Here is a 23451-nt window from a genome sequence, read left to right as displayed (position 1 = left end):
ATGGTTTGAGAAAATCACTGGCAACAATCTGTTTAAAGTCAGATTTTGTTGCTCGGTGCTCTGCCTCTGATGTTGGCTTAACTCAGTTTCTGCATCCTCAGCAAAGCTGGGGGATGAAAGCCTAAGACTCCAGTTAACAACCACAGATGTATCATTGTCCTTGCTTTGTAGATGTATTTATTTTTATTTTCAGTCAATGGTCAGCATACCTGCAATCTGCCACTATTTCCTCCAGATTTCCTCTGTAACAACTGATATAGGAATGATGCTTTTATGACCCTGGAAAATGTAACTTTAAACACTAACTAGCTATCTGCTTGCTTTGTATTGTTTTTGTTTGTGTGTGTTTTAATAAACTGCTCTAGTGATCCTTCCATTTTTCAACTATATCCCACTTCCAGTTCTGTTCTGTCTCGGAATAGGCTCACTCTTTGATCATTTTGCTGGTACCCTTGCTATTATTACTGAACATTGGCACATGCCAACATCAGTATGTCTAAGAAATGCTCTTAATCCTTTAAAGCAGGGGTCCCCAACCACTGGGCCACAGAAGGGAAGTGGGCTGCACAGCAGGAGGTGAGCATGGCGCAGGAGCATTACCAACAGAGCTCTGTCCCATCTCAGATCAGTGGTGGCATTAGATTCTCATAGGAGCGGGAACAGGAACCCTATTGTGAACTGCGCATGCGAGGGATCTACGTTGGGCACTCCTTAATGAGAATCTGAGATGGAACAATTTCATCCCGAAACCATCTACCCACCCCCACTCCTGTTCCGAGGAAAAATTGTCTTCCAAGAAATGTGATCCCTGGTGCCAAAAAGGTTGGGGACCGCTGCTTTAAAGTATTGTCTTTAAGCCCATTGTGCAGATAAGGAAACTGAGACATGGTTATGTTAACTGTTTAAGGTCATACCTCAGGTTTGTGGAGGATTTAACACCCAGGCAGGTTGATTCTAGAGCAACATTGTCCAGGATAAATATAATGCAAGCCACATATGTGTAATTTTAAATTTTCTAATAACCACAAAAAAAGTAAGAAAAGGAGAGATTGTTTAATAATATTTGGGTGATAATGATATGTCAGTACAAGTTCATTGATTGTAACAAACGTACCACTCCAATGGGGGATGTTGGTAGTAGGGGAGGCTGTTCCTGAATGGGGTAGTGGGTATATGGGAAATCTCTGTATCATCCAGGCTGGGGTGCAGTGGTGCGATCTCGGCTCACTGTAACCTCCCCCTCCCTGGGTTCAAGCAATTCTCCTGCCTCAGCCTCCCGAGTAGCTGGGATTACAGGCACATGCCACTATCGCCCGCCGAATTTTTGTGTTTTTAGTAGAGAGGGAGTTTTGCCATGTTGGCCAAGCTGGTCTCGAACTCCTGGCCTCAAGTGATGTGCCCGCCTCTACCTCCCAAAGTGCTGGGATTACAGGTGTGAGCCACTGCCCCCAGCCATCTATGTACCTTTCAGTTTTGCTGTGAACCTAAAACTGCTCTAAAAAAAATAGTCTGTAACAAGTGCTATCTCAGTCTTTGTTTCTAGAATTCCTAAAAACACCTAGTGCTTGAGAATATTCTTTCATAATATTCTGTGGGTTTTGTGCTTGCCTGGGGTTAACAGTTGAATAGATGATTTATCTTAATAGCTGATTCATTCTGCACTCTGCCCCACCCTCCCACAATCAGCAGTTTGCCTATATTTGCAAGTGTTTGTCCTCATGGCATATATACATAGAATTGTGATGGGGAGAACGAGAACTGAACCCTCACCATCACCATGCAGGAATTATTTTTTGTGATCTAGAGTACTCTACATTTCCTTCAGTCATCATAGTCTTTTTTGGGTATCAACAAATCACACTTCGATTCTGTCTTCTAATTGTTGACTAGATTGAGTGAAGGGAGAGAGGGAGAAAAGTTTGAAGGATGATGTCGATTGGCCAACCAGTCCTTCTGGGTTTTAATATGATGTACACAAGATAAAATCAGGACATATGCTAACATTTGAAATTATCTTTCCCAGCTGAAAGAGAATTAATGAAGAACCATTTGTGGGTACAAATCAGCTCCCCCACTTCTTGGTGTATTTCTTTGGACAGGTTACTTAACCTCTTTTTGGTTTATTTCTCATATTAGTAAAATAGGCATAATGGTATTCCTCTCACAAGGTCATTGCCCAGAAGATGGTAATTGCTCAATAAATGAATTTTAGAGTCTGTATTTCATACTTGTGATTTACAGAACAACCCATGGGCCTACTACTAATTGAATCAAATACATAGATTATTATGTTTCTGAAAAACAAATGCCTGGCAAGGTAATTAAGTTTGCTCAAATCTAACTTAACCTAATTCTTGAAAAATTCTTGAAAAAAGGGATTAATTTCCAATAATCACATGACATTGCACCGATCCAGCAAAACCCCTCCAGGCAGTCGTAGAATCTCGAGTCATTCAAAACACAGTGTTTAATACATTGCGCCCAGTACCTTCTGTTTCTTCCATTCTTTTTTCTTGGAAAAGAAAAGATTACTGCTCTTGTTGATCACGTTGATTTTTAGATCTTGCTTAACATCCTCTCTTATAGTGCTTGGGTTCAGTTCTTACCTATGTCACTGCTCTTAATGTGCCAGTATTCAAAGGATGAGGCATCCCCTGCCTGTCTGAATGCAAAAGTAGAGTTCTGATGGGGGGAAAACAGAAAGAGAGAGATTTCACAGACTTTTCTTTATACTAAATCATGTTAAATCCATTGTGTACTTTATACTCACAATGCATCTCAGTCCATGCTAGCCATATTTCAAATGCTCAATAGCCACATGTGGCTAGTGGCTGCTGAACTGGACAGCTCTGGAATCTGTACTTTTAACCCTTTATTGTTTCCCTTTTATTCTTCTATGCTGTATATTTCTTCATTATAATTTTTATAAAATTTATTTTCAATTTCTCCAACTTTTGTATCACATTGGACCTTGAAATAATCCAAAATGTGGTTACAGGAAATTTTAAAAATCAGGCCACCCCCCAAATATAGTTTTAAGCACACACTCCAAACTTTCTGAAAACTATTTTATTCATCGTTTGTGGAGAAATATATAGTCATTGGCCCTTTTTCATCTTTAAAACATCACTTAAAATCAGTTTAATTAGTATCTCTGGGTTCAAAATGAAATTTAATTCACTCAACATTTCTTGGGCACCTGCAGGGACACAAACTGTAGTAGTTGCTAACATTAAGACAAAGATCCCTCAAAAGAAGGCATGTATATGTTAGAAACAGACCGTGAATGTGAAAAAAAATTGTTACCTGCTTTTTTCTATTGCCCTCCACAGTGAAATCTCAATCTTAGCTATCAGTGTGCAATACTACTTCACAGAAGACTTAAAGTAGATTATAGGTAGATTTTCCCCCCTTTATTTTAAAGGTATGTTTTGCCTTTTTTTTTTTTTTTTGTAATTTGATACAGGGTCTTGCTCTGTTCCCATAGGCTGGAGTGCGGTGGCAAAATTATAGCTCACTGCAGCCTCGACATTCGGGGCTCAAGCTATCCTCCTTCCTCAGCCTCCTGAGTAGATGGGATCACAGGCATGCACCACTACACTCAGCTAATATTTTGGGTTTTTTGTAGAGACAGGGTCTCACTTTGTTGCCCAGGGTGGTCTTGAAATCCTGAGCTCAAGCAATCTTTCCACCTTGGCCTCCCAAAGTGCTGGGATTACGGGCGTGAGCCACCATGCCCAGCCATGTTTTGCCTTTAATAGGTGTAAGATTTTGATTCCCTAAAAGAAAACCCAGGTCCCTAAGGATCCATAGCATGGTTGACAGAAGAAAAGAATGTAGTTTTCTCCTAGATTGCCTCTTTTAAGTCACCCAGGAGAGGAAATTATTTTAAGACAGCTCTTTTTAAACTGACATTTGTTTAGATAAATATATTAATTATTTAGAGTAAATTCAGCCCCAGCTATACAGAAATAAACTGAATTTCAAATGTCTCCATGTGTTTACACAACTGCTCTTACTACAACTACAGTTGGAGTTACTGGGGACTTGTTAAACATCAGCAATTGAAATGCTGTCTTCATGTTATCTAGAGATTGAAGAAAATAAAATTCACTTAAAAATAAATTCATAAATACTATCTTAAAAATGATAGTTCTATTGAGCTTCCATTTGAGCAATTGTGTAATCCCATAACTACTACAGAGAAACTAAAGAAGAGAAATTGAAAAATACTTTAGAAGATAAAACTATTGCCATTTTTCTGGACTAACAGAAGAGACTTGTTAAATAGCAATGTTGAAAAGAATGTACTTTATGCAGAAATCAAATAAAATGGAGGCAATTTACTAACAAAACTTCCATTTATATGATGTGTGTTTGTAAAACACTCTCCTGAGAATTATAATTCTATCATGTTCCCATTTGAGTACTTATATAATCACTTAAGAGCAATAAAACTAAAAGAGAAAATATTCAAAAATATCTTAGAAGACAAAGTTTTTGCTGTGTTTCTGAATTATTTTAGTGGACTTAACAACAAAAATAGTATAATTACATACAAATAGAATAAAATGGAAACAATTTGCTTAAAAATTCACATATAGGTAATCTACAGTTATAAAACAGTATCATAAGAATTGTAATTCTCTCTAGCTTTCATTTGAAGCAAGGAATGATCACTTAATAGCAATGAAACTGACAAAATATCAAAATTGCTTACGAAGACAGCAAAAATGCATTTTATGATTCTGATCTTTGGAAGTAGGCTTCTTGGGAGGCAGGATCAATTCTGAAGGTGCATTGCTTCTGTTTTCAAGTTGTGTGAACAGAAGACAAAATCCAGCACTTGTGAAGACATGTTTCTTGTGGCCAGAGAAGGATGTGCTGGGCCGTGGCCATCCCCAAGGAAAGAATCCTTGAGGAGGTCCATGATGGCTTTCCAGAGAAGAGAGCATGACAGAAGGTTTGCTTCTCAGGAACATTCCCCTGGGACACATCTGTGCCATCTGACAGGAGGATGAGGTAGAAGAACAGAGCCTGGGCAGCTGCTTCTTGTCCAGATGGAAGGGTTGAGTCTGGTGTAATTAAATGACCAAGATCATGTGCATTGTCTTTCCTATTGGTCTCCACTTCTGAAGGTGCATGTCTCTCAACATCATCAAAAGAAGATCTTGAGCATTGAATATCATTGAAAGAAGGCAGCAAAGGAGCACCAGGAGAAACTCTCCCTGTTGTTGTGGAGGAATTTATGTGTCCTGATGGAGTTGGCCTGATGGAGGAATCTGGTCCACACTAGGCACAGATCCTGGAACCCTGAGCCATCCCAACCTAATGCTCCGCTGTCTTGGTATCAGGGGATCCTAGTATCTCCCATGCATCTGCCAAATTTTCCTTTTGGAATATCAGGGACATAGAGATACTTTTTAAAAAGCTGAAACTTAAGTTCTTCCTAAATCATTATTTCCCTGAGTTGTGGATTTTATTTTCTTGAGTTATCAAAGTTTTTCTCAGCCAATAGAGCTCTCAACCAACTATCAAGAGCTTTTTTTTCCTCATGATAATTGATAGGATCCAATGGCTTTTTCTAATTTTTCTAGAAGAATTTTAATTTGGGCTGGGTGTGGTAGCTCACACCTATAATCCCAACACTTTGGGATGCCAAGACAGGAGGATCTCTTGAGGCCAGAAATTTGAGACCAGCCTGGGCAACACAGGGAGACCCTGTCTCCACAAAAAATAATTTAAAAGAATATTAGCTACATATAGTGGTGCATGCTTGTGGTCCCAGCTACTTGGGAGGCTAAGGTGGGAGGATCATTTGAGCCCAGGAGGTTGAGGCTGCAGTGAGCTGTGATCATGCCACTGCACTCCAGCCTAAGCAACAGAGAGAGAGAGGCCCTGCTAAAAAAGAGAGAGAGAGAGAGACAGAGAGAGAGAGAATTTTGGCTAGGATTCTGAAGATGTCTAGCACTTCAGATGCATGACTGATTTTTTCATCTGCTTTGGAAAGATTCTTCTCTTTCCATAGTAAATCACTTTAAATTGAATCTTGCATAATCATTTTATTTTATTGATGCAGTTTAGTAATGACTAAGTTTCTGCTGAAGCTCTGAAATCTCACTTTCAAACTGGATTTTTCAGACTGCAATGAAGCTAGTACATTTTTGAGACTTTTAACATTATCCATAAGTGCATTTGTTATTTTGACTTCTTCAATAATTTAGTGTAGATTTTATTGCTTTTTCCTTCAAGAGTTTTTAAAGATACATTTACCATAGCCACATAAATCCAGCTTCTTCAGAACTTCATTTTAATAACATAGATGTTAATCTTCATGACCTTGGATTAGGCAGTGGTTTCTTAAATATTACACTAGAGGCACAAGAAAAGAAAAAGAAAAAACTTGGACTTCATCAAATGTAAAAACTTTTATGCATCAAAGGACATTATTAAGAAAGTGAAAAGACAACCCACAGAATGGGAGAACATATCTGCAAATCAGAAATCTAATAAAGGTTTATTTAGTACCCAGAATATATAAAGAACTCTTACAACAACATAAAGACAACCCAATTAAAAATGAATAAAGGAGATGAATGCACATTTATCCAAAGAAAATATAAAAATAGCCAATAAGCACGTAAAAAGATGCTCAACATCATCAGTTGTTAGGGAAATGCAAATCCAACCACAGTGAGACGCCACCTCACACCCTCTATGATGGCTATAACAATAATTTTGTTTTTAATGCGAAATAAGTATTGGCAAGGAAAACTCAAACTTGAACCCTCAAAACCTGCTGTGGGAATGTAAAATAGTATAGCCACTGTAAAAAAAAAAAAAAAAAAAAAAAAAAAAAAAAACATTTCCTAAAAATGTTTCAGACAGAGTTACTACAGTATATGACCCAGAAATTACCCACCTGGGAATATATCAAGAGAATCAAACCATATGTTCAAATAAAATCTTATACATGAATGTTCGTAGTAGGCATAGTTTATAATGGGCAGAAAGTGGAAACAAGCTACATATCCATGAGTGGATAAATGGCATGAACAAAATATGGCAGACCCATACATTGGAATGTCATCCAGCCATAAAATGGAATGAAGTGCTGATACTTGCTACAATATGGATGAAACTTGAAAACACTATCCTAAGTTAAAGAACCCACACGAAAGGCCACATAATGTTTCAATTTATATAAAATGTCTAGAATAGGCAAATCTATAGAGGCAAAACATAGATTAGTGGTTACCAGGTGGAAGTGGGGGCAGGAATTGGGAGTGACTGCTTAATGTGTATGGAGTTTCTTTTTGGGGTGACAAAAATCTTCTGAAGTTAGATAGTAGTGATGGCTGCACAACATTGTGAATGTACTAAAAGCCACTGGTTTGTATACTTCACAGTGTTTTTAAATGAATTTTACCTCAATAAAAAACTTTATTAATCCTCAACACAATCTCCATTGTCTGAGGCATTGTTAATATCTCCAATTCCCAGATCTCATTCTCCTATGTAAGAACAGCAGCTCAATCTTTCATCTTCTGCAAGTTTTTTTCAGTTTATTCACTTTACTCACTCTTTTTTATCTTAGCTTCTTGTGAAAGCAGATTTATGCTTTTACAAAAATATGCTTTCATCCAGGCCATCTTTTATTGCCACCTTAAGTTTTTTTTAAAATTTATCTGATATATTTTAAAGGATGCTTTTGTTGCAGCTACTTGAACTTGGATGTTCAATGCATTTTCTGAAGACCAGGTCTCTCTCATAATCTCTTTTAACCCAGAGTAAACAATCGGATATTTCCAGATTTTTTGCTTATGGCCACCAGTTTTTGTATATATTATCATTTGTTCTCAAGTCTGGCTTCCATTAAAGCAGAGTGAAATCTTTCAAATTCTATTCGAATGAGGCTAAGCTTGAAAAAAAAATGATGTTTTTCCTCCAGGAAGGCAGAAAATCCAATAGTCAGTACTTTATGTTTATTTGGATAAAGTTCTATTTTAATAATCAAAAATCTGACTATGACTGAAAATACCTTTCTATCCCATAGCAATTGGTGGGGGTCTCTGTTAAGGTTTGAGAAGCACTGCTCTAAACTGTTTCTCACGCTTCAGGTATCAGCTGACGTGCACTTCCTCAGGAAGGCTTTTGTAATCCACAGTCTTGAGTCAGGCCCTTAATTATGAACTTCAAATAAGCTCCAGCCTTTCCTTCAAATATTTATCATAGTTTATCGTCGCATGCTCACCTCCACCCAGAAGTAGCTATTATCCTAAATTTTGTGTTAAGCCTATGTTTTCCTTAGACCCTACCACACATGTAGGTAGCTCTAAACAAACTATTATTTGATTTTGTCTGTTTTTTAAACTACATCTATTAAGTCACATCATATGTGACTTTCTGTGACTTACTACTTGGCTTTCACTCTGTGTTGTGAAATTCATCCATTTATTATGTGTAGTTGCAGTGTATTCATTTTCACTGCTGTATAAAATTCCATGATATGGATAGATGACAGTTTTGTAATCCATTTTAATGTCAATAGAAATTTCAATTGTGTCAATGTTTTTTGCTGTTAGGAACAATTATGGGCTATTGTGCAATGGAGTTTCTTATTGTGTCTCTTGCTTCACATGTACAAAGAATTTTTTTTTAGTTTAACATTAGGGGTAGAATTGCTTGGTATATGACACATGCTTACTTGACTTTACTAGGTGATGACAAATTGCTTTTCAAAGTTGTTGTAGCAAATCACAACCCCACCAGGAGTGTGTGAGTTTACAATGCTCTATATTCTTGTCAAAACTTGGTATTGTCTTATTTTTACGTTTATGCCAGTCTGGTGGATTTAAACAGTTTCTCATTGTGGTTTTAATTTGCATTTATCTGATTACTAATGAGACTGAATCTTGTTTCCTGTGTTTCTCGGCATTTGGATTTCCTCTTCTGTGAAGAGCCTTTTGCTCATTTTCTACTGAGTTATTTGTCTTTTTCCTTATTGATTTGTAGGAATTATTCATAGACTCTAGATACTAATTTTTGTGCATTATATATATTATATGACTATCTTCTCCCAGTTATGGCTTCTCTTTTCATTCTTTTTACCATGTCTTTTATTGAAAAGAAGTTGTTAATTCTTACGATTTATTACCTTTTGCTTTACAGGTGGTTCTTCTTGTACTTTGTATAAGAAAACCTTTCTTAACCTAAGGTCATAAAGATATTCCAGCCTGGCATGGTGGCGCACACCTGTAATCCCAACACTTTGGGAGGCTGAGGCGGGCAGATCACCTGAGGTGAGGAGTTCAAGACCAGTCTGGCCAACATGGTGAAACCTTGTCTCTACTAAAAATACAAAAAAATTAGCTCACGTTGTGGCAGACGCCTGTAATCCCAGCTACTTGGGAGGCTGAGGCAGGAGAATCGCTTGAAACCAGGAGGCGGAGGTTGCAGTGAGCCAAGATTGCGCTGTTGCACTGCAGCCTGGGCAACAAGAGTGAAACTCCATCTCAAAATGTAAAAAATAATAATTTTCATATTTTCTCTTGAAAGTCTTAAGGTTTACATTTGGAACTTCAGTGTTTGATCCACATGAAATTGAATTTTGAATATGGTGTGAGGCAGGAATTCATTTTCATATGAGTCTTTTCTGGTGTAAAGCAAGCCTGGGGGTAAGCGATTCAAACATTCTACTCTGTGGTATATTTTCTAGAAAGACACTCTTGGGCAGATGAAGGAGAAATGTATGAACAAGTTCATGGAAACATTACTCATAATAGCAAAACACTGGAAATGTCCCCAAATGTCCATGAATAATACAGTGGACAAATACTGGGTTTGTGCAAAAGTAATTATAGTATTTGCCATTACTTTCAATAATAATAATAATAATAATAATAAATTGGTGTATGTGCCTACAATGCAATACCATACAGCACTAAAAATGAAAAATCTATAGCCACACGTGACAAAACAAATCCTTCCAAAACACCTAATTTTGAGTAAATAACCAGATTGTAGAAGAACTCATAAAGCAAGATTCCATGTATGTAACATTTAAAAGTAGAAAAAATTGAACAACATAGTAGTTAGAGATATATATGTGCTTAAACTATAAAGAAAAGCAAGAGATTGGTTAATAAAAACTTAAGAGCAGTGACTGCCAATGGCAGGGAGGGAGGTGCCTGAAGTCAGGAATGGACACACAGGGTGCTTCAGAGCTAGGAGATGGGACATGTCTCCTCTTTCTTTCTAATTCCAACTATTCCATAATATCGCTCCCAGTGCTGACTTCCTGAAGCCCAGGTCTAATTATGCAACATTAGTGACCTTCTTACCCTCCAATCATCCTGTAAGTTTATTGGAGTTCCTAGAATTCTTTCCTTGGCTCTCTTTTTATATCATGTTACAGGGCGATCTTAGTGGGTGATTTCACCCATCCCCATGACTGTCAACTGCCACTGAAGTGGCAATGACTCACACATTTGTCTTTCCTAAACTCCAGACCTACATATATAGCTACTGAGTAGATATTTCCGCTTGCATGTTCCACAGTGTCTCAGACTCAGTATGCCTGGTGTTTTTACAAAAAGGGGAAATTTGCACACATAGGGAGAAGACCATGTGAAGATGGAGGCAGAGATTAGGTGATGCAGCAGAAACCAAGGAGCATCTAGAGAGCCAGCAAACCACCAGAGCTTGCGGACAGGCCTTCAGAAGGAACCAATCCTGCTGACACCTTGATCTTGAACTTTTAGCCTCCAGAGCTGTGAGGCCATACATTCCTGTTGTTTAAGCTCCCCAGTTTGTGGTACTGTGTTCCAGCAGCCCTAGAAAGTGAATGCTATATGCACGCTTGCCATCCCAATTTTCACACCCAGTAACTGATCCTATAAAAATAATTGCACAAGTAAGCAAAGGAGTTATCATAAGGATATTGACAACAGCAGTGTTTATCATTTACAACAGAGAAAACAACCTAAATGTCTTACAGTGAAAGAAAAGTTCATAAATGATAGTACATTCACACAATGGAAAGTCATGTAGCTTTTCAAAATGATGTTGTCAGTATAAAGCTTGAGAGGGAAAGACATTCACAATAAGTTGCTTAAAGGGGACTACAAAAGAGTATGTATATATATACTGTTGGCCATTTTTTGCAACTTATATATGTGTGTGTGTGTGTGTGTGTTATAAATGCATAGGAAAAAGTCTGAAAGTATATCAACATATTTACAGTGGTAGAATTTCAGGTAATTTACATTTTCCTCTCTTTGCTTCTCCATATTTTCTTAAGAGATGTGGTTTAAAAATTAGCCTGTGAGGGTTCCTTGTTTTCCCTCTCCCCATTGCCCCTTTTAAGATTGACTGAGTAGATTCACAATCCTTCCATACCTCGGGAAGGAGGAAGAAAGAATAGGAAAAAAGGGGAAAGGACAGGAGAAAAGAAAACATAAATGATCTATTAAAGAACTAGGGGATAAAAAAAATTGTTTGTTTGTTTGTTTATAAGAGATGGGGTCTTGCTCTATCACCCATGCAGTGGCACCTTCTTAGCTCACTGCAGCTTTGAACTCCTGTGCTCAAATGATCCTCTCACCTCAGCCTTCCAAGTGGCTAGGACTGTAGTGGTGCCTCATCATGCCTGGCTAATTTTTTTTGTAGTGGTGGGGTCTTGCTATGTTGGCCAGGCTAGTCTAGAACTCCCGGCCTCAAGGGATCCTCTTGCCTCAACTTCCCAAAGTATTAGGAATACAGGACAGCGTGCCCAGCCAGATTCATGAATTTAGGAAGCAAAATATAGTGTGAACTGTAGGAGAAAAAGGTTTGGGGAGGTAGAGTTGTGAATGAGAGGCTCTAAAGCAATACAGGGTGTGAGAGAATTGTGGAAGAGAGAAGAGAGCATAGGAAGAGTATTCTCGGGGTTACAAATGGGATCCTTTTAAACAATTTCCAAGTAATGCACATGAAAGCTCAGAATTTCATGTTTTATCATTTTTAGCTGTTGGGATTGTACTTCTTTGAATGCAGCATCAACAGCATACAGAGAAAGGATTCAATGAGTCCAGGATTTATAAAGTCATTTTTCTACAATTAGCATATGGGTTCCAGTTTGCAAACTGAAGTACACAAGAAATATTACTTTATTTTTCTCTATCTTCATTTTTATTTGTTGTTATTGTCCTCCCAGTGGCAGACACTTGGCCTCAGGCAACTAAGTTTTCTGCTTGAGATAACATTCAAGAGGAGGTAGGTGTGGGCAGAGGCTTAGTTAATGAGGTTCATGTAGAATGCATCCGGGCCAGAGGTCTTAGGACAACGGTATCTTTTAAGATGGCCATCATCCTAGCTGACCTTAAGATCTGCATGATCCCATCTGTCAACACAAGTCCCTGTCTTTTCTAGTCTGGTGAGTCTCTTTGCTGGGCCAATTCTGTTTTTGAGGGAAGGGAAACACTCACTAGGCCCCTCAGCCACACTGGGCCATGACTACCGTATTCCTCACCACACTGTGCTGTGGGAAAACTCTGGGGTCTTGTCACCTGCAGGGCTCAATATGTGACTTAGGCAGGGGCCCATAGATCCACTTACACCATCAGATGGTTAATATTGTCAAATTGATTGGATTGAAGGATGCAAAGTATTCTTTCTGGGTGTCTGTGAGTGTATTGCCAAAGGCGATTAACATTTGACTCAATGGACTGGGAAAGGCAGACCCACCCTCAATGTGGGTGAGCACCATCTAATCAACTGCCAACTTGGCTAGAATAAAGCAGGCGGAAGAAGGTGGGAGAACCTGACTTGCCTTCATTTTTCTCCAGTGCTGGATGCTTCCTGACCTTGAACATCAGACTCCAAGTTCTTTGGCTTTAGGACTCTTGGATTTACACTAGCAGTTTGCCGAGGGGATCTCTGGCCTTTGGCCACAGACTGAAGGCTGCACTGTTGGCTTCCCTACTTTTGAGGTTTTGGGTCTCGGGCTGATCCACTACTGGCTTCCTTGCTCCTCAACTTGCAGACGGCCTATCGTGGGACTTTACCTTGTGATCGCGTGAGTCAATTCTTCTTAATAAACTGCCTTTCATATTTACATATATCCTATTAGTTCTGTCCCTCTAGAGAACCCTGACTAATACAGATTTTGTTCCTGGAGTGGTTCAAGAATTTTAAGGATAGAGTTCTTTAGTTGGTTTCAGGGTTTCTGGAATTGGCTGCTCAATCTGATTAGACCCAAAAATGCTAAGACCTCTGCTTTGAATACTATGGAAAACACTGATAGTCCTTGGTGTGAACTGTTTAGAAAGTTATGCAAAATAAATGCATTTGATACTCCTGATTCACTGCTCTGCAGAGGCAAGGAGTTTAGTGACTCTATACATAATACCTTTGACCATATGTGGAGAATCAAGGAATGTCATAAAGTTGTTTGGTTGCTCCTAAGTTTGCTGGACAAAGTGATGAAAGAAAACGATGAACTCAGGGATTCTAACTCCTGGCTCCAGAAGCAGATACTGAGCCCCAAATCTTCTAAGACTGCCCTAACAGAGAGTTTTATCTCCTGTATAGAAAGAGCTGAAATTGTGGAAAAACAGACACAAGCTCTTATCATGTGAGTGGCTGACTTGCAATAAAAGGTGAATGCACACCCTTGCCAGGTGTCTACTGTTAAAGTGAGGGCATTGATTGGAAAAGAATGGGACCCTGCAATTAGGAATGGGGATGTATAGGAGGTCCCTGATGAGGCTTGGGACACTGAGCTTCTAAATTCTGATGAGCCTTTTTTGCCAGAGGAAACAGCCTTCCCATCTGCAGCAGTAGCAACATCTCCCCCCACCACCCATGCTGCCATCAGCCTTTCCACCTTTGTCTGAGGAGATTAACCCTGCACTGCCTGAGGCAACAGTGATGGCCTCCCCTGAGGAAGTTGCCAGGTAAGAGAATGCTGATTCTCCTCAGGACCCACCCCTAACACCCCTGTTTGCTTCCAGACCTATAACTAGACTCAAGTTCCAGCAGGCTCTAGATGTAAGGTTCAGAGTGTGACCAATGAGGAGGTGCGCTACACTCCAAAAGAACAGAGTTTTCTAACTTATAAAGCAGAAATCTGGAGAACAGGTATCGGGATGGACTTTAAGGGCATGGGATAATGGTGGAAAGAACATAAAGTTGGATCAGGCTGAATTTACTGATATGGACCCACTAAGCAGGGATTCTGCATTTAATGTTGCAGATCAGGGAGTTAAAAAAAGGTTCTAATAATTTATTTGCTTGGTTAGCTGAAACATGGATCAAAAGATGGCCTACTTGGCTGGGCGTGGTGGCTCATGCCTGTAATCCCAGCACTTTGGGAGACCAAGGCGGGCAGATCACTTGAGGTCAGGAGTTTGAGACCAGCCTGGCCAACATGGCAAAACCCAGTCTCTACTAAAAATACAAAAATTAGCCCGGCTTGGCGGCACACTCCTGTAATCCCAGCTACTCAGGAGGCTGAGGCAGGAGAATTGCTTAGACCCAGGAGGTGGAGGGTGCAGTGAGCTGAGATCGTGCCACTGCATTCCAGCCTGGGTGACACAGTGAGACTCTGTCTCAAAAAAATAAAATAAAATAAAATAAAATATGGCCTACTATGAGTAGGCTGGAAATGCCTGATCTCCCTTGGTTTAATGTAGAGGAAGGGATCCAAAAGCTTAGGGAGATTGGAATGTTGGAGTGGATTAGTCATTTTAGACCTACTCATCCCAGCTGGGAGGGTCCAGAAGATATACCCTTCACCAATACTTTGCGAAATAGATTTGTGAAGGGAGCATTTACATCCTTGAAGAGTTTTGTGATTGCTTATCTTTGTATGCCAGATCTTACAGTGGGAACTGCAGTCACTCAATTAGAAATGTTAAATGCAATGGAAATAATTGGATCCCAAGGTGGCAGGGGCCAAGTTGAGGCACTCAACCATGAAAGGCAAGGTGGATGTAGTTACTATAATGGACAGCAAAGGCAAAGTAGCAATCAGAATAGCATGATTTATGTAGAGCTCTGGCTTTGGCTAATTAATCACAGTGTTCCTAGAAGTGAAATTGATAGGAAGCCTACTGCATGCTTACTTAATTTATATAAGCAGAAAACTTTCAGGCTGAATGGACAAAAGACTAATTTGAATTATAAAAATAGAGAATTACGGCCTGTCAATCATTTCCAGACATGAACCAGTTTACAGACCCAGAAATCCTTGAATGAAAGGGACGCCGGTTCTCCTTGAGGAAGAACCTCACTATACTACCAACAATTTATGCAGTTAATCTTTTTCCCATCCTTCCCTAAGGAGACCTCTGGCCTTTTACCAGGGTAGCTGTGCACTGGGGAAAGGGGAATGATCAGAACTTTCGGGGATTCTGGCCACTGGCTCTGAGCTGATATTGATTTCAGAGGACCCAAAACATCATTGTGGTCCTCCAGTTAAAGCTTGGTTAGCTAAAATACGGATCTTATGGGGCTTGTGGAGATAAGGTAATTAATGAAGTTTTAGCTCTGGTCCGACTTACAGTGGGTCCAGTGGGTCCCCAGACTCATTGTGTGGTCATTTCCCCAGTGCCAGAATGCATAATTGGCATAGACATACTTAGCAGCTGGCAGAATCCCTACATTGGCTCCCTGACTGGTAGGGTGAGGCCTATCATGGTGGAAAAGGCCAAATGGAAGGCATTAGAGCTGCCTCTACCTAGAAAAATAGTAAGTCAAAAACAATATCACAACCCTGGAGGGATTGCAGAGATTAGTGCCACCATCAAGGACTTGAAAGATGCAGGGGTGGTGATTCCCACCATATCCCCATTCAACTTTCCTATTTGGCCTGTGCAAAAGACAGATGGATCTTGGAGAATGACAGTGGATTACTGTAAGCTTAACCAAGTGGTGACCCCAACTGCAGCTGCTGTACCAGATGTGGTTTCATTGCTTGAGCAAATTAACATATATCCTTGTACCTGGTATACAGCCATTGATTCGACAAATGCCTTTTTCTCCATTCCTGTCCATAAGGCCCACCAAAAGCAATTTGCCTTCAGCTTGCAAAGTCAGCAATATACCTTCACTGTCCTGCCTCAGGGGTATATCAAGTCTCCAGCTTTGTGTCATAATTTTGTTCACAGAGATCTTGATCACTTTTCTCTTCCACAAGATATCACACTGGTCTATTCTACTGATGACATTATGCGGATTGGACCCAGTGAGTGAGAAGTAGCAAACACAGTGGACTTATTGGTGAGACATTTGCATGCCAGGGGATGGGAAATAAATTCGGCTAAAATTCAGAGACCTTCTACATCAGTGAAATTTCTAGGAGTCCAGTGGTGTGGGGCCTATTGAGATATTTCTTCTAAGGTGAACAATAAATTACCTCATTTGGTCCCTCCTACAACCAAGAAAGAGGCACAATACCTAGTTGGCCTATTTGGATTTTGGGGGCAACACATTCCTTATTTGGGTATGTTACTCCAGCCCATTTATCAAATGATTCAAAAGGTTGTCAGTTTTGAGTGGGGTCCAGAACAGGAAAATGCTCTGCAACAGGTCCAGGCTGCTGTGCAAGCTGCTCTGTCACTTGGGCCATATGACCCAGCAGATCCAGCAGTGCTTGAGGTGTCAGTAGCAGATGGGATGCTGTTCGAAGCCTTCGGCCAGCCCCCATAGGTGAATCACAGCAGAGACCTCTAGGATTTTGGAGCAAGGCCCTGCCATCTTCTGCAGATACCTACTCTCCTTTTGAGACACAGCTCTTGGCTTGTTACTGGGCTTTGGTAGAAACTGAAGGCTTGATTATGGGTCATCAAGTCACCATGCGACCTGAGCTGCTTAGAAGGCACAAGTAAGTTACATAAGGAAATGGCTCAAATGCCCATGATCTCCACTCCTGCCACCCTGTCTTCTCTCCCCAAGCCTGCACCGATGGCCTCATGGGGAATTCCTTACGATCAGTCTACACAGGAAGAGAGGACTAGGGCCTGGTTTACGGGTGGTTCTGCACGATATGCAGGTACCACCCAAAAGTGGACAGGTGCAGCACTATAGTCTCTTTCTAGGACATCCCTGAAGGACAGTGGCAAAGGGAAATCTTCCCAGTGGGCAGACCTACCCTCAATGTGGGTGAGCACCACCCAATCATCTGCGAACTTGGCTAGAATAAAGCAGGCAGAAGGTGGTGGGAGAAGCCGACTTGCTGAGCCTTCCAGCTTTCATCTTTCTCCGGTGCTGGATGCTTCCTGCCCTCGAACATCAGACTCCAAGTTCTTCGGCTCTTGGACTTACAATAGTGGTTTGCCAAGGGGCTCTCGAGCCTTTGGTCACAGACTGAAGCTGCACTGTTGGCTTCCCTACTTTTGAGGTTTGGGGACTCGGACTGATCCACTACTGATTTCCTTGCTCCTCAACTGGCAGACTGCCTATCGTGGGACTTTACCTGTGATTGTGTGAGTCAATTCTTCTTAATAAACTCCCTTTCACATAGACATATTTCCTATTAGTTTTGTCCCTCTGGAGAATCCTAGATGGGATTCTGTCATTCCCAGATTTTTCCAAGGTTTCCGCCATTGCTTCCCCATTTTCTCACCAACTTCCTTCCAACACATATGCCATGGGTTTGACTTCTTTCTCACAGACACTTACTGATATTTTAGTTTTCTGCATTATCTCCAGTTCTTTCTCTTCCTTTGGTCCTGGAAAATCTTGCCACAATTTTGTGTTGTCCAGATTCTTCTTAGGCCTCTGAGCATTTCTTCATTGTCTTTTCTTTTGGATATTTGTTCCATCATCTGTCCATAGAATATTCAGCTTCTAGCATTCCACTTTTGGCCCACTGTCTTTCTCAGTTTTTCCCAGGTTACCTCATCCACTCCCAAGGATTTAACCACCACTTCTATGCTAATGACTCTGAACCTACAGCTTTAGTCCAAAATCCATGTCCTGTTGCTGTGTATCTGTCCTTGATCTCCCACAAGCCAATAAAACTAAACTTGTCCCAAACTCTATATATCTTCCGAAAACCTGTATTTTTCTCTTGCATTCTTTCTCTTCAGTGGTGGATATAATTACAAACTGCTCGGCTATTATGGAAAAATGCTCAGTGCTTTGAGGATGTTTAGTAGAGGCACTCTCTATCTGTCTAGGATGGGGAGGGGGATGCGAGAAAATGTTCTCTCACTTAGATATTATTGAGGCTGGCATCTCCAGATCTGCACAGCTCAGGAGTCTGACTGCATCACTTCCTTGCCCCAGACCTTCAGGAAAAACATGCAGTGGTGTACCCAGGGGGTAGCCACCTTGATAGAGAGGAGCGTGTTATCATTGTTTAGAATCACTGGCAATATAGTCAGTTTTATTATTGTTTTCTAATACTCAACAGACAGTCTACCCCCTTTTTGCCTACACCCAGCATGGTCCACTCAAATTGCCCTACTCCTTGGTACTCCACTGAAAACCTGGAGGCCTCCACCCTCCTCTCCTTATCCCCATCTTCCCTTCAGCCAAGCCTCTAAGGCCAAATCACCTGTTGTTTCTCATTTCTGTGTCTTTTCTCATGCTCTTCCCTCTGCCTGGAATTCCCTCTACTCCATACACACACTGTATCTGGTTTACCCCTACTCTTTAAGATTCAACTTAAATATCGCTTCCCCCAGGAAGCTGCCCCTGCTCACCCAAGGCTGAGTCACATGCCCTTCGTTGGGCTTCCATGGTATCTTCTAAATACTAAATTTCTGCATTGGCCACATCGTACTCTAATTAATCTGTTCATGATTTTGTCTCTCTCAATTACTGTGTGCCAAATGAAGTAGTCTTATTCACTTTTTTATTCACTGAGATCCGAGGAAACACTACATTATTCATTTTCATATCTCCGGGATCTAGGAAAATACTTGTCACAATATTGATGAGAAAGGTGTTTACATCATGTTGTGATATAAGCTTTAAATTCTGCAGAACACTTATTTTCATGGGAAAAATAATATTTGGAGCATGCCCTTAGGGTCTCCCTCCACTTCCTTTCCTGGTACCCTTTAGAAACCCTTATGTGAACCTTCACATATATATGGAAGGCTCAGGTTGGTCTTCAACACCACTGCCTTGATGCTACAAATTTACAAAGTGGAAGACATTTTTCAGTTTTGAAGCATGCTCTTCTCCAGCTCTCTGCAGAGCTTCTGTTTCTGCAAGACAGTGACTGAGAGTCTGGTATTCAATTATTATTTTATTCATTTAACTGCACCAGTAAATAGTGATAGAATTCAGAACTCAGAGCTACCACAATATGGAATTTTTAAAAGGCACTTGAAATCCTTGACAGCAGAAGCAGGGACATTTAAAATACAGAGGACAGGGAACCAAACTGTGAAATGTTCTCTCTGTAATCTTCATCAAAGATATATGCTTTGAAATGATTCCTATTCCATGGAAGAAGATACAATCTGCTCCCCCTCTTCCCATTACCACCATTTGCAAAGCACCACCCAGTCTTACAGATATTTTCTTCCCAGTGTCTCTCATAACCATTCCTTTCTTAAGGTTTCGTAAGAACCATATGAATGTTCTTTGACATCATATCATATTATATGCAGTGATTCTTTAAATAGTATTCCAGTGTTGAGATAGCGAAAAGCACTGGAAGCACTGGTGTGCTGGTAAATGTTTCACAATCAGCTCTCTGGGGAAAGAAGCTCTATTGGTAGTGTTTGCTAATCTCCATGGTATAAATACTCCCACCAAGGCAGATTTCAAGCTATCAACTTGATGTCACTGAATGAGGAGTTGGGGAAAGGTGGACCCCATTGTCTCTACTGAACCAATACAAGCTGCTGTATATCAGCTCTAGCACATTTCTGGATGGACGATTAATTTTTCTCAAGCACCATTTAAGATAGGTTATTTTCAGATTCAGAAATCTACCCAGACTTCTACTGTCTGCCATGGAAATAGAAAAAAAAAAACAGTCTGTCCACTTTTCCCTATCACCACAAATACTGTGTTAGGCTACTTGATTGGAGTCTGCATTAGCTAGTTAAATGATCTCCTTGGTTCCACTCTTACCTCTACAGTTCTTCTCCCTACAGCAACCAGAGTAATTGTTTAACACTAATTTGATTGTGTTACCTGCCCAGAGGCAATATTGCATCACACCAGGAACTATGCCACTGGTGCAACATGGAGTTGTGCAGTACGCAGGCTATTCAACCATACTCAGCACCCCGACCTCTGCTTAAAATCCTCAGAGGTTTTCCATTACATTTAGGGATTTGTATATTTGTGTTTATATAACATATGGTTTAACCCGGTCTCCAAAGGCCTGCATGATCTGACTGCAGCTTCCTCTCCTGTCCCATCCATGCCACTCTCCCTCTGACTTACTTGGTTCCAGCTTCTCTGAACTTCCCAACTTCCTTCAATTCCTCTGTCATACTAAGCTCTCTCTAGGATCCCACCTGGACCACTCTTCTTTTTGATTTTCCTTTGGTTAAACTTTCTTTCTGAAGTCTCTGCTCACAAGGCACTTTCCAGAGAGATCTTTGAACCCCTGATCTAAATTAAGCCCCTTCAATTAGTCTCTTTCATGGCATGTTATTTTTTCACTTCTAAGCATTACAGTGGGTACTGTCATTATGAGTGTTTTGGTGTCAATGATGGCAGGCTTTTTTTTTGTTTTGTTTTGTTTTTCACCAGGGATGTAGAACCTCCAAATTTACTGCGAGGGGCACAGCCACAGTCCCGCAAAGGTGACAAGATGTGCTCGCTGTTTGCATCTGTTTAAATCATCACTATAAGAAAGTGATTCTTGGGTTTAGGTATGAGTGATGGCAGTTTTTATGACCAGAAAAGATTATTTATGATGAGTTTGGTTTTTAGAAATTAATATTCCATTTAAGGTTATAAGATCAAAAGACTATTTGTCCTTAAGCTTTAAAATTCAAAATAAAAATCACATTGTTCTATTAATGAATAAATAAGACTTTAACAGTCACTTTTAAGGGGGCCTTTGATTAATGTGTGAGCCCATTTACAAACTTAATTTTAATTCTTTTTTTTTTTTTTTTTTTTTGAGACGGAGTCTCGCTCTTTTGCCCAGGCTGGAGCGCAGTGGCACGATCTCGGCTCACTGCAACTGCAACCTCCGCCTCCTGGGTTCAAACGATTCTTCTGCCTCAGCCACCCAAGTAGCTGCGACTACAGGCACGCACCACCACCCAGCTAATTTTTGTATTTGTAGTAGAGATGGGGTTTCACCATATTGGCCAGGCTGGTCTCGAACTCTTGACTTGGTGATCCGCCCGCCCTGGCCTTCCAAAGTACTGGGATTACAGGTGTGAGCCACCACGCTGGACAATTTTAATTCTTAAACATCAAAAAATTACATTCATACATTTAATGTACTTGTTTTCATTTTAAGTCATTCAACTGTGTAACAAAAATAATTTAAGTAACTCTAACATATGAAACATAAATATGGTGAATATTAGGTTCTTCTGAATGTTCCAATAGTATCTTTAAATTTAGTAAAGTTTTCTTATACATTGAACTTAAAGTCAGAAGTTAATCAATTATTCAATTAAATATTATACATTAAATTATAAAGCAATTCTGTTTGATTCGCTCATCTGCTATTAATAAATTCTCCAAATAATTACACGTATTCTAAATAGCAAGTGCACAAGGTGTTTCTCAACTTACCATGAATATATGAATACGATGGGTTTGGCTTAATCAGTTTTCATAATTCACTCTTTTATTTTCAATTACAGATCCTCCTAGAATTAAAATGGGCAGATGAAGCAGACAGTTATACCACACCAAACATTTGGTCTTATTTTTCAGGAGGAGGTCACTGAGGATACAAATTGACTCTGGATTTGGCTGGGACTCAGGGTTTTGTGTTCTCCCAACATACTGAGGCCCAGTTACGAGGCCTAGTTACAGGAATTTCATAGCCAGAAAGGGTCCCATGTTCACGTCCCTAATTCTAGTGAAATCTGGGTCTGTAACCCCTCTCCTAGGTTCTTTCACTTTGAGATTGGATTGATTTACTCTTTCAATGGCTTTATTTTATTCTAAATTATCTTCTTATTCTTCTGAGCAGGCCAGGCTCAGCTCTTATTGATATTTAAATAGAATCCAGTTGGGATTCCACAAATCTCTTTGTAGTTTTGTATATCTCTATTTACAATGGCAAGATCAGTCTTAATGACAGGAATGGATCTCAATCTACAAACGCAGGTCTGCAAAAACTCTTATTTTCTAAATATGTGACTCACCATTAATTTAATTAATTTTTCTAGGTAAACACAAGGCATGGGATTGTTACTTGCTACAAGGCAAGACATACAGGAAGGGGCTGGCAGGGACTCATGGTGTTAAGGTACAAGGGCCAAGTTACCTACCCTACTGGAATTTTTTGTTCTGGGGGCTCACTTTCTGGGAGTTGCAGCAGCAGCTGCAGCAACAGTGGATGATAATGAGCAACAGCAAGAACAACAGGGTGCTGACGAAGGTGAGGAAGATAATGTAGGCAGCAGTGTCCCACTTGGACTGAAAGGGCTGATCCCTGTCAGCTGTTGGTCTCCCCACACTTCCAGAGCCATTACTCCCAGCTCCTCCATGAACAACAGACCCATTTTAGCAGAAGCGCCCTGGTGCCACCTTTTAAAAATATACTAGACAAGCACCGTGAAACACATGGGCACTCAGCCACTGTTGACTTTGTGAACAAAAGAAAGAAAGAGAGGCTGGGTGTGGTGACTCATGCCTGTAATCCCAGCACTTTGGGAGGCCTAGGCGGGTGGATCACGAGGTCAGGAGATGGAGATCATCCTGGCCAACATGGTGAAACCCCATCTCTACTAAAATACAAAAAATTAGCCAGATGTGGTGGCGTGCACCTGTAGTCCCAGCTACTCGGGAGGCTGAGGCAGGGAATTGCTTGAACCTGGGAGGTGGAGGTTGCTGTGAGCTGAGATCATGCCATCGCACTCCAGCCTGGGTGACAGGGCAAGACTCTATCTCAAAAAAGAAAAAAAAAGAGAAAGAAAGAAAGAAAAAGAAAGAAAAAGAAAGAAAGAAAGAAAGAAAGAAAGAAAGAAAGAAAGAAAGAAAGAAAGAAAGAAAGAAAGAAAGAAGGAAGGGAGAGAAGAAGCAAGGGAGGGAGAGAGGAAAGAAGGGAGGGAGGGAGGGAAAGGAAGAGTAGGCTTTAATTTACAATTTGAACCCTTATTCAACAGGAATTGAAAATGATATAGAGTCAGTACTCACCCTTCCCTTTCCTCCTGATATTTCATCTGGGTTCCAGGTGAACTCAGTGACATCAAGTTGGACAGCTTGAGACTTGCCTTGGGTGGAGTAGTTACGCGGGGAACAAGGGTTTCTAAACCTTTAGAATTTCCTAATAGGACTCTTTTGTAATTCATAACATGC

General features: G+C 40.3%; 1 long non-coding RNA gene and 1 other non-coding gene across 2 annotated transcripts; both read right to left on the bottom strand.

Annotated features, from left to right (window-relative positions):
- Positions 1-5904: 5904 nt before the first annotated feature.
- On the bottom strand, positions 5905-23317 carry LINC01932 (long intergenic non-protein coding RNA 1932). Its single transcript, NR_134261.1, has 3 exons — positions 23290-23317; positions 21715-21791; positions 5905-6372 (listed from the first exon to the last, which is right to left on the bottom strand). It is a non-coding gene; the product is annotated as a long intergenic non-protein coding RNA 1932 (long non-coding RNA).
- On the bottom strand, positions 20710-20838 carry LOC124900203 (small nucleolar RNA SNORA68). The gene has a single exon (XR_007059152.1). It is a non-coding gene; the product is annotated as a small nucleolar RNA SNORA68 (small nucleolar RNA).
- Positions 23318-23451: the final 134 nt, after the last annotated feature.

The sequence above is a fragment of the Homo sapiens genome, chromosome 5 (assembly GCF_000001405.40).
Source record: "Homo sapiens chromosome 5, GRCh38.p14 Primary Assembly".
Lineage (NCBI taxonomy): Eukaryota > Metazoa > Chordata > Mammalia > Primates > Hominidae > Homo > Homo sapiens.
The sequence above is the reverse complement of the archived record's forward strand: the minus strand, read 5'-3'. Positions and strand labels throughout refer to the sequence as shown.